Source organism: Homo sapiens, chromosome 4 (genome assembly GCF_000001405.40).
Source record: "Homo sapiens chromosome 4, GRCh38.p14 Primary Assembly".
NCBI classification, from domain to species: Eukaryota; Metazoa; Chordata; class Mammalia; order Primates; family Hominidae; genus Homo; species Homo sapiens.
The window spans coordinates 186,370,919-186,383,365 of NC_000004.12; the positions used below are offsets into that span (position 1 = coordinate 186,370,919).

Genomic DNA, 12,447 nt, shown 5'->3' on the forward strand with positions numbered 1-12,447 from the left:
TCTTGATTGTTTGTAAGTTTTATTAAAGTGCCAAATGCAATTTTTTGGAACTTCACTTTTCTCTTTAAATATAGTATTGTTAAAATTCATCCTGTTGTTGTTTCTGTGGTTCATTTGCTTGTATAGTAATATGACATTCATCATGTGAACAGACCATGAATTATTCACCCACACTTCTTTAATGGGCAATGAGTTGTTTACAAGAATTTGCTCATTGTGAATGGAGCTGCTTTAAACACTCTTGGCCAGGTCTCCTGTTGCATGAGCAGTCTGTACCTGAAACGTTGCTGGTCACCATGTCAGAAGGAAAGAGAGCATGTGAATAACACACCGGCCAGTACACAGCCTCCACTCGGGAGTGACGCGCATGTGAATAACACACCGGCCAGTACACAGCATCCACTCGGGAGTGACGCGCATGGTGAATAACACACCGGCCAGTACACAGCATCCACTCGGGAGTGACGCGCATGGTGAATAACACACCGGCCAGTACACAGCATCCACTCGGGAGTGACGCGCATGGTGAATAACACACCGGCCAGTACACAGCATCCACTCGGGAGTGACGCGCATGGTGAATAACACACCGGCCAGTACACAGCATCCACTCGGGAGTGACGCGCATGGTGAATAACACACCGGCCAGTACACAGCATCCACTCGGGAGTGACGCGCATGGTGAATAACACACCGGCCAGTACACAGCATCCACTCGGGAGTGACGCGCATGGTGAATAACACACCGGCCAGTACACAGCATCCACTCGGGAGTGACGCGCATGGTGAATAACACACCGGCCAGTACACAGCATCCACTCGGGAGTGAGGCGCATGGTGAATAACACACCGGCCAGTACACAGCATCCACTCGGGAGTGAGGCGCATGGTGAATAACACACCGGCCAGTACACAGCATCCACTCGGGAGTGACGCGCATGGTGAATAACACACCGGCCAGTACACAGCATCCACTCGGGAGTGACGTGCATGGTGAATAACACACGGGCCAGTACACAGCATCCACTCGGGAGTGACGCGCGTGTGAATAACACACCGGCCAGTACACAGCATCCACTCAGGACTGACGCGCGTGGTGAATAACACACCGGCCAGTACACAGCATCCACTCAGGAGTGACGTGCATGTGAATAACACACGGGCCAGTACACAGCATCCACTCAGGAGTGACGCGCATGTGAATAACACACCGGCCAGTACACAGCATCCACTCAGGACTGACGCGCGTGGTGAATAACACACCGGCCAGTACACAGCATCCACTCAGGAGTGACGCGCATGTGAATAACACACCAGCCAGTACACAGCAACCACTCAGGACTGACGCGCGTGGTGAATAACACACCGGCCAGTACACAGCATCCACTCAGGAGTGACGCGCATGTGAATAACACACTGGCCAGTACACAGCATCCACTCGGGAGTGACGCGCATGGTGAATAGCACACTGGCCAGTACACAGCATCCACTCGGGAGTGACGCGCGTGTGAATAACACACGGGCCAGTACACAGCATCCACTCAGGAGTGACGCAAGTCACTTTTGCTTATAGAGCAAGTCACAGGCTAGACCTCAATTCAAGGAGAGTGTGTGTGGAAGTGTAGTCTCTTCATGAGCTTAATGGTAGAAATGGAAATAGTTGGTGGACAGCAGTCATACCGCCACAGCATCTATTAAGCTCCAGCCTCTGTGCCAGACCCTGTTATAGGTGCTGAGAATACAGGGTGAATACAATAGACAAAGTATTTATCTTCACGAAGATGATATTCTCACTGGGGAGAGACAGCAAATAAGCATTGCAGAACGGCCTGAAGTTTCAGAATGGGTTGTAACCTTAGAACATTGCCTGCTATCCAAATCTCCTTGGAACAAATCCACCTAGCACCAGGAATCAATTTAATCGTGGCTCTAGAATTCACAACAAAATCGAATAATACAGTTGAAGTGACTTCGTTTGGATTTTACAGACCAACTTCATGGCAGAGTTGACTGAAATAAATGTCCAGAACGTTTTTAATTGGACTTCGAGTTCATATACATGGTGCATACAGGGGCAACATATTCTCCCTTTGTTTAGAGCAGAGTTTCCTGCATGAACCAGCATGCAGGAAACTATCACTTGTGAATCTATCACTCTACATGGGTTTCTGATCTGAGTTCTTTGGGAAAGCAATAGCTGTCACTTCTTGTAAAGTGCTGCCGATACAGGTGGGAATTGTATTTCACTGCATCTCATTTGAATCAGAAGTACAAGGGCAAAAATCACGGGATCTTTATTCATTGACAGTACCGTCAATCCCAATTAATCAACACCTGGAGGATTCTCCAATAACACAAGTGTGCTGAATTCAGTTCCTATGTACTCTAATAATAGTCTCATTTATATTCTGAGTGCATGATTAGTGATTCTGCATTGCTAGATTTCATTAAGAGATACATGGGAGGGAGTTTTTGAAAAAAAGATCATCTGTTTGTTGCAAAATAAAAAAAAATATAACTTGAATTGAGTATATTCTCATTAATCGTTAGCAATCAAATGACCTGAGCTTTCCCCTAAACTACACAAGCTAATAACTGACATTACCATGGACATAAGCAGAAACATAACAGCATGGTGCCAGCCATGACTGTTTCTGTTAAAGCATAAACACCAAAATAACAGAAAGCCTCTGTAACCTAATAACTAGACATGGTATCCTTAGAACTCTCATAAATAATATATAAAAGTCTAGTGATTCATGAATTTGGGAAACAAAGCTCTATGCGGGCCAGCTTCCCATCTAGCCGGAGACCACTGCCTCATCAGAGTTAGGATGGAATACTGCCTAGCTTGGCAGCTGGCTCTAAATGACTGTGCGATGCGTTAGACTCCTTACATAATTAAAAATTATGTAAGGAGTCTAAATTCTGCTTAGTTCTTATATAAGCAGAATCTGTACGGCAAAAGAGAAGAACAAATTTTTTTTTTGAGACGAACAAATTTTTTTTCCTACATAATTAAAAACTATGTAGGAGTCTAAATTCTGCTTAGCTCTTACATAAGCAGAATCTGTATGGCAAAAGAGAAGAACAAATTTTTTTTTTGAGACGGAGTTTTGCTCTTGTGGCCCAGGCTGGAGTGCAATGGTGTGATCTTGGCTCACTGCAACCTCCACCTCCTGGGCTCAAGCGATTCTCCTGCCTCATCCTCCTGAGTAGCTTGGATTACAGGCATGCACCACCATGCCTGGCTAATTTTGTATTTTTAGTAGAGATGGAGTTTCTCCATGTTAGTCAGGCTGGTCTCGAACTCCCAACCTCAGGTGATCCGCCTACCTTGGCCTCCCAAAGTGCTGGGATTACAGGCGTAAGCCACTGCGTCTGGCCAAAACTTTTTAAAAATAATTAGTCTGAATTAAATATACCAAGAAGCAAATGCTGGCAATTTTTTTGGCTTTCGGGGATAGTTTATTTCTATTCATTTTTAACAATCTTTAACAGGCTTCACTACCTTCTAGCTCCAGGCACTTATTCTTTGATCTCTTCAGCAACATCCTAATGAGTCTCCTGGCTTCCTCACTTAACTCACAACCCAACCCATTCTCCACAGAGCAGCCAGAGTAAACTCTTTAAAAATATGTAAATCATATTAAATCAATCCCTCCCTAAAATCTTTCATGCCTTTGTCATCAGAGAGATCAAAAACCTCAATCTCCTTTCCATAACTGACAAGTCCCTGCAAACAGCGGACTGCATATCCCATCTCATCTCTATGCTTTTCCTCTCACTCGTCTCTCTGCTTTTCCTCTCACTCCTCTTTATTCTTTTCCTCTCACCGCATACTGTTTTGGGTAGCAGTGGTTCATTCATTTTCAAGCTATAAGTTGGTTCATTTTATAAACACACAAAACATGAATGAGCTGTTCAACTGCTGATGGACATTTCAGGTGTTTCCAATGTTGGCAACCATGAATAATGCTGCTGCACACATTCTCGTATGTAGGTACACATATTTGTGCATTTCTTTTGGGAATATAGCAAGGAGTAAAATTGCTAGCTTAAAGGGAAAGTTTTTATTCAGCTTTATTAGACAGTACTGAATAGTTTTGCAAAATGGTTGTACCAGTTGACACCCAAACAAGAGAGAATGAGAGTTAACTGTACGTTCTCTCCAGCATTAACTGTTGTTAGTCTTGGGGTTTTAAGCGGGCTGTTGTTGTAGCTCATTGCCGCTCTCTCCCTACGGGAATTTGCTGTTATTGTTGTTGTTGATGTATAATTATATTCAGTTTGTGGCTTGCTTTTTTATTGTGTGTTCCTTGAAAGAAGTTTTAATTTTGATTAAATGTAGTTGTTTTTTTCTTTCATGATTTGTTCTGAGTTCTCTCTAGGAAAACTTCGCATAACCACAGGTTGCAAAGATATTCTGTATTTTTCCAGGAGCTTTGTAGTTTCAGCTTTTCAATTTAAAAATGTAACATGTTTCAAGTAAATTTTTATACATGGCATAATATATGGACCAATTTTCAATCATTTTAATATAGATATTTAATTGACTATGTGCTTTCGGCTGAAAGTTTTCCTCAACTTATTGAATTATTTTGTCGCAGCCGAGCACAGCGGCTCGCACATAAAACTGCAGCACTTTGGGAGGCAAAGGCAAGAGCATCACTTTAGCTCAGAAGTTCAAAACCAGTTCTGGCAACTTGGCAAAACCTTGTCTCTACAAAAAATACCAAAATTAACTGGGTGTGGTGGCATGCACCTGTAGTCCCAGCTACTCAGGAGGCTGAGGTGGGAGGATCACCTGAGCCAGGGAGGTTGAGGCTGCAGTGAGCCACGATCATGCCACCACACTCCAGCCTAGGTAATAGAGTGAGACTCTGTCTCGAAAAATAAAAATTAAAAAATAAATTATTTTGTTGCATTTTTTTGAAAGTTGATTGACCATGTATTGTGGAGCTATATCTGAAATCTCCATTCTGCTCTGTTGATCAGTCTGTCTATCCACATGTTGATTTCACATCTCATGACAGCTCTATAATGTGCTTTAAAGTCAGGTGGAGTATGCTATCCAATTTTGTTATTCTTTTTGAAATTGTTTTGCCTATTCTGAGTCCTTTACATTCCATATATATGTCAGAATCAACTTATCAATATATACTCCCCCTCAAAAAAAATTCTAACCTTGCTGCAACTTTGAAATTCAATTGCATTTATGGACGAATTGGGAAAAATTAATGACTTTACAACTATGAGGATTATATATCTCTCCACGTACTTAGGTCTTTCTTGTTTTCTATTTTTTGATATTTATTTTATTGGAACTGATCTCTATAAATTTGTCTGTATATAGAAATACAGAAAATTTATATATATATATATACCTCATATCCTGAAGTCATGTTGATTTCAACTTATCCAATTTAGTATAAATGCAGATTTTTTTCTTAGATTTCTGTGAGTTTTCTATATAAAATCATGTTATTTGCAAATATAGTTTTACTTCTTCATTTCCAATATTTCTTCTCTTTTATTTTTGTCTTTTTTTTCCTTATTGCATTGGATTAGATATTTAGTAGAATAATTAATGCAAGTGGTGAGAGGGGACATATTCGCTTTGATTCTCATTTCGGGGGAAATGAGTTCAGTATTTTACCATTAAGTGTAATGTTAGTTGTAAGATTTGCACAGATACCCTCTTTTTTTTGTCATCATGAATGAATGTTGGATTTTGTTAAATGTTTTTTCTGAATCTTGAGATGATCATCTGAGTTTTCTTCTTTAAATTATATTGATTTTTTTTCAAACTTTAACATAATAGTTTCGGGATAAACCTCACTTTGTGATGATACATTATTTTTCTATAACATTAGATTTAATTTACCAAAATTTTGTTCTAGATTTTTGCATTCATGTTAATGAGGGATGCTGGTGCGTGTGTTCTTGTCAGAAGCTCTTGTCAGAGGTTTGTATTAGGGTTTTCTAAAAGCTTTTTTATGATTTGAATTATTTCTTCCTTAAATGTTTCATAAGAATTCATCCATGAAGCAGTCTGGGATGATGTCGACCAGGGATAGAAAGGAAAACTGTGCCTGTTTTTAAATGAGCCTCCTTATTGCCAAACAGCCAGCTCCTGTGCTTTCTCCACAGCCTGGCTCAGTTCCACAGACCACCCTGGGCCACCTCTGCCTTCAGGGCCTCTTTGACTTCCTCCAGTCCTCATGTGAAATATGTATTTGTTGCCATCGTTCCTCCTTTTGTTTGCCATTTTCCTCATAATTTATTGTGTGGTTTATGTTTTATTAGTATTCTCCCCCTTCCCACGTACATCAGTGTGTCCTAGAACAGGTTCTACCCTATAAGCTTCCATGTTTCTAACTCTCGGTGGGGTAACATACACACAGGTAGTCTCAGAAAATGACTTTGGAAGAGGTTAAGAGTGACGGAGATTATAACCAGTAATATGAGTTCATATTACCAGTTTACAGCACAAATGCAGAGAAAACTTATTTTTGCTTGTTTCTGATTCCAGCTCCCAAATACTACATACACACACACACACACACACACACACACACACACACACGCACACATATGCTCTTCCTCTCCGAAGCCTTACTCTTAACCACACAAATTGTTCAATAGCCCCTAAGGGTTATTTAGGCCTAAAATATCAATGCTGAGTTTCAATGCTAGACAGAGAGAAAAACAGATAAATCTGATTTGTCTAATTGCACAGTTACTTTTTTTAACTTTTATTTCCAGTTCAGGGATACACGTGCAGGTTTGTTACACAGGTAAACTTGTGTCATGGGGGTTTGTTGTACAGATTATTTCATCACCCAGGTATTAAGCCTAGTACCCATTAGTTATTTTTCATGATCCTCTCCCTCCTCCCTCCCTCCACCCTCCAAAAGGCCCCAATGTGTGTTGTTCCCCTCTGTGTCCATGTGTTCTCATCATTTAGTTCCCCCTTATAAATGAGAATATGCAGCATTTGGTTTTCTATTCCTGTAATTGCACAGTTACTTGGTTGCTTTAATTGTTAAGAGAACCGCCTTAGCGTCAGATGGACACATCTCCATTTCCCTGGTCCTTGCTGGCCTGGCTCCCCCCAGCATTGCAGTCATGCCCCATGGTTGGCTTCAAAGTCAGGGCTCATGTGCTCACATGCCCAGCATTTGTTCCTCATACATAGTGTTTATGGCAGCATCTGAGAGAGCTTCCTGTCTCAGCGCAGGCTGTGCCAGAACTAGACCTCCCACAGAACCCTCGACCTATGCTAAGGCCAACAAACTCTTCCCTCCTCGTATGTTCCCTTTAGGCTTTGCTGAACCTGATGTCCTTTTTTTAATTTTTATTTATTTTTTGAGACAGAGTCTCACTCTGCTGCTCAGGCTGGAGTGCGGTGGTGCAGTTATGGCTCACTGCAACCTCAACCTCCTGGGCTCAAGCGATTCTCCCACCTCGGCCTTCCAAGTAGCTGGGGCTATAGCCATTTGTGTAGAGACGGAGTCTTGCTATGTTGTCAAGCTGGTCTCGAACTCCTGGCCTCAAGCAATCCTCCAGCCTCAGCCTCCCAAAGCACTGGGATTACAGGAGTGAGCCACCATGATGTTCTTTTCTCTGAGCCGATCTTGGCAAATGCCTCTGTGATTCACGTAGATTTTTCTAACTTTCACTCTCAGGGTTACGTATTTCACTCTCCCTCCAGCTCCCAGTACAGATATACAAAATCACTGTTGAAAAGAAATAAAATGAATCTGTAAAGCCAAGACTTCAGCGTAAGTTGAAAGAAAAAAATGTGTCAATCAAGGGAGCGCATGTGTAAATAACAGCCAGAACATCTGCCCTGCTCCAATAAAACAAGGCCATTCGCAGGTTTATTTCTAGACTGGCGACAGATGTCGAAAACTGTTGCGGTGCCGTGGTGCCAGCCGAAGACCCACCTAACAAACCAGCTCCTGTGCTCCGCTAAGAAAATTCACATAATAACTAAGAGCTCCACTGTATCTTTTTCTCCAGGGAAAGAAAACATTGATCAGTGATCACAAGTCCCCTGTTGACCTGGGGGTTGTACTTCTCATTGGAGTGGAAGGAACCACCTTTCTGATTTTCATATCTCAATTCTATGAGGTGATTATATCCACTGAGTACAGCTCTGATCTCTGTGCTGTCAGATCAGGTTCTCGATCCTGCATTCTGGAAAACCCAAACCTGGTCTGGGTTGAATTTGCCAAGGTAAAGCCAATCAGCTTTTTCCAAGTGATATTTAGCTTTCTTACAAGCACCCTTTCTTCAGACTGCAACACACACACACACAGCACACACACACACCACACATTGGTCACAATTGGAGAATGCAAAACTCAATATTTTGAAAACTTATAAATAAAAGAAAACATTCAAGCATTTATTATGTCATTTTTTACCAACAATTTTAGGGAGTAACCAAATACGAGATGAGAAGAATATATGAAAACAAACAATAAAATTGAATATAGTAATTTAGCAACTTCTCATGAATTAATGAATGACACTGATATTTAGATGGCTACTGACACAATTTTAAAAAAGATAACCAGAAATACATGATTCCTGATGAGAAATACATAACTTCAGAAATAGTCTTGTCCTCCCAAAATTAAATAAACCAATCAAGCAAAATCATATCAAGCCTTTATATTCAACTACCAATTTATTTAAAAAATACCGAAGATGGAGGAAGACATTGTAAAGCAGACCAGGATGTAATCTGGAAAATCCACACTGTGATTGTCAAAAGTTCTATAGAAAAGATAATCCATTTTCTTCAATAAATAAATTGTAAGAGAAAAAGAAGATGGATGAGAATCTAGAGAGCAAAATAAATGTAAACCAAGTCTTTTTTTTTTTTTTTTTTTTTAGACGGAGTCTCGCTCTGTCACCAGACTGGAGTGCAGTGGCAAGATCTTGGCTCACTGCAGCCTCCACCTCCCAGGTTCAAGCAATTCCCCTGCCTCAGCCTCCCAAGCAGCTAGGACTACAGGCGCGTGACACCACGCCTGGCTAATTTTTTGTATTTTAGTAGAGATGGGGTTTCACCGTGTTGGCCAGGATGGTCTCAATCTCCTGACCTCACGATCTGCCAGCCTCAGCCCCCGAAAGTGCTGGGATTACAGGCATGAGCCACCACGCCAAGTCCAATGTTAGCTGTGTCTTAACCAATCATACCAGGAGACACATTGGATCCTGATTGGAACAAATTATTTTTTAAATGACATTTATAAGATGACAGAAAATTTTAATATGCACATGATATTTTATAAGTTAAGAAATTGCTAAATTTTTATATGAGATAGTCATTTGGTGGTTGTTTTATTTAGAGTTCTTAGCTTCTCGAGATATCCTAAAAATTTTCAGGATAAAACTACATAATGTCCACGGCTTGCTTACTATGGGGGCCAGGAACTGGTGGGATGTAGATGAAGCAGGATCATCTTCAACTGATGATTTTGGAACCTGGGTGATGGAAACACAGGTGTTGGTACACTATGAAGTCAAATTTACACATATTCGAAATGATTATTCAATATGAAAATTGAAAATGCTATTTTTCATAATAAAAAGCTTATAAGTTCACAATAATAGCAGCAATCTGGAAATCCTCAGGTGATATTTGTCACAGAATAATTGATTCAAGGTAGAACTTGTCGGACCCCGTGCTGTGCTGTGTATGAACAAAAGCAGAGTTCATTTTGTAGTTGTCAGATTCTTTTTATAACCTCAGGAAAAAAAAAGTAGATAACAGGACTGAAATATAGTGGTGTTACACTGAGAACCATTGAATTTTAAAGGTAGTAAAGAAAATATTAATGACAGTTTTAAGAAATTCTATACACCATATGCTAATAAGTTGTTTTTATGCGTTTTCTAGGGTGGTAATTCAAGCAAAATTTGTTAACATGAATGAAGACTATAATTTTTGCCATGTACGCACAAACATCTTACATATCAAGGAGAAATATAGCAATAAGAAGACATTAAAACAGCACAGAAAAGCTTTCAAATTTATTGTTTATTGGGTACAAAGAGGTATAATTTAAAATATATTTCCAGATTCCCGAAATACATCACCATAACTGAGTTAACTAATACACTCTCCTTTGGCCAATGATATGTATTACCCGAAAAGATCATAGAAAGGAGACTTTTAAGAGACAGATCATCATGGCGGACGGGAGGCAGGACTACATTGCAGCTCCCTCAGGGCAGCGTGCGGGGCTCGCATTGTGACTTTTAGCTCCAGATGGACTGCAGGAAGAAACCAGCAGTCCCGAGAGGACCCGCAGACCCTCTGAAGGAAGTGGGCTGCTCCTGCAGGACCCGGGAGACCCCCGCAAAAGTGTGAGTGCCCCAACTGCAGAAGTGGGAGAGGGAGACCCTCCTCTCCCAAACACACACCCCCACTGGGGAAGCTGAAGGTCTGTTTGCGGGAGAATTTCCAACTTTACCTGGAGCTGAGTCCGTCTGGGGAGCCCAGTGAGGTACAGGGGTAGAGGAAGCAGCGGAAAGGCCCGCGGAGCTCGCTGGGTCCCCGAGCAGCCCATTCCTGCTGGCACCACAGGGATCCATCGGGAGAGGAGGGGGTAAAACTCCACAGGGAGAAGGAAATCTCTAGCTGAGCGTTGTAACAATTTGAACTGGGTGAGAATCCTCCTGGCCAGAACTAGGGCAGGGCACGAATCCGGGGTGCAGACTCCACAGGCGGGGGAAGAACCAAGCCTTTTTCTCTCGCAGCTGGGAGGCGGGTAGCCTGGGGCAGGTTTTCAGGCCTGTATCCCTCTCCGCCTGGAAACGGACTGGGGGCTGTTGGGGGGTGCACGGTGGGAGTGAGACCGGCCCTTTGGTTTGGGTGGGAGCTGGGCGAGCCCTGTGACTGCCGGCTTTCCCCCACTTCCCTGACAACCTGCATGACTCAGCAGAGGCAGACATAATCCTCCCAGGTACATAACTCCAGTGACCTGGGAATCTCACCCCCAGCCCCCACAGCAGCCGCAGCAAGGACCGCCCAAGGAGAGCCTGAGCTCAGAGGTGCCTACCCCACCCTCACCTGAGGGTCCTTCCCTACCCACCCTGGTAGCAGAAGACAAAGGGCATATCATCTTGGAGTTCTAGGGCCCCGCCCACCGCCGGTTCCTCGCCACACCACCACAGCTGATGCTCTCTGGAAAGTGCCACTTCCCGGCAGGAGGCCAAACAGCACAAAAATAGAGCGCTAAACCCTCACAGAGTCCATTGCACTCTCCCTGCCTCCCATCGCCACCTCCACCAGAACAGGTGCTGGCATCCATGGCTGAGAGACCCATAGACGGTTCACATCACAGGACTCTGTGCAGACAACCCCCAGTACCAGCCTAGAGCCGGGTAGACTCACTGGGCGGCTAGACCCAGAAGAGAGACAACAATCACTGCAGTTTGGCTCACAGGAAGCCAGATCCATAGGAAAAGGGGGAGAGTATTACATCAAAGGAAAACCTCGTGGGACAAAAGAATCTGAACAACAGCCAAATGAGAAGGAACCAGAAAACCAATTCTGGTAATTTGACAAAACAAGGCTCTTCAACACTCCCAAAATCACACCAGTTCACCAGCAATAGATCCAAACCAAGAAGAAATCCCTAATTTACCTGAAAAAGCATTCAAAAGGTTAGTTATTAACCGAATCAGGGAGGGACCAGAGACAGGCAAAGCCCAACGCAAGGAAATCAAAAATATGACACAAGAAGTGAAGGGAGAAATATTCAAGGAAATAGATGGCTTAAAGAAAAAACTAAATCAAAAATTCAAGAAACTTTGGACACACTTTTAGAAATGTGAAATGCTCTGGAAAGTCTCAGCAATAGAATTGAACAAGTAGAAGAAAGAAATTCAGAGTTCAAAGACAAGGTCTTTGAATTAACCCAATCCAACAAAGACAAAGAAAAAAAGAATAAGAAAATATGAACAAAGCCTCCAAGAAGTCTGGGATTATGTTAAACAACCAAATCTAAGAATAATCTCTGTTCCTGAGGAAAAAAATTCTAAAAGCTTGCAAAACATATTTGGAGGAAGAGTCGAGGAAAACTTCCCCAGCCTTGCTATACACCTAGACATCCAAATCCAAGAAGCACAAAGAACACCTGGGTAATTCATCGCAAAAAGATCTTTGCCTAGGCGCATCGTCATCAGGTTATCCAAAGTTAAGATGAAGGAAAGATTCTTAGGAGCTGTGAGACAGAAGCACCAGGTAACCTATAAAGGAAAACCTATCAGATTTCTCAGCAGAGATCCTACAAGCTAGAAGGGTCTGGGGCCCTATCTTCGGCCTCCTCAAACAAAGCAATTAATAGCCAAGAATTTTGTATCCAGCGAAACTAAGCATCATATATGAAGGAAAGAAACAGTCTTTTTCAGACAAACAAA

The 12,447-nt window shown here is 42.3% G+C and overlaps 2 long non-coding RNA genes across 2 annotated transcripts in view, besides 1 other annotated feature; both read right to left on the minus strand.

Moving 5' to 3' along the window:
• F11-AS1 (F11 antisense RNA 1) overlaps nt 1–12,447 on the minus strand; it is a 214,961-nt gene that overhangs the window by 84,821 nt on the left and 117,693 nt on the right. The window lies entirely within an intron of this gene.
• Nucleotides 190–1,389: an enhancer, noted in NCBI's record as "CDK7 strongly-dependent group 2 enhancer chr4:187292262-187293461 (GRCh37/hg19 assembly coordinates)". NCBI's record gives its function as "activates an origin of replication core promoter dependent on BRD2, BRD4, P300/CBP, MED14 and CDK7 cofactors, with strong dependence on CDK7, by STARR-seq in HCT116 cells {active_cell/tissue: HCT116}" and the evidence as "EXISTENCE:reporter gene assay evidence [ECO:0000049][PMID:35650434]".
• Nucleotides 9,329–11,099, minus strand: LOC124900874 (uncharacterized). Its single transcript, XR_007058499.1, has 2 exons — nt 10,497–11,099; nt 9,329–9,504 (listed from the first exon to the last, which is right to left on the minus strand). It is a non-coding gene; the product is annotated as an uncharacterized LOC124900874 (long non-coding RNA).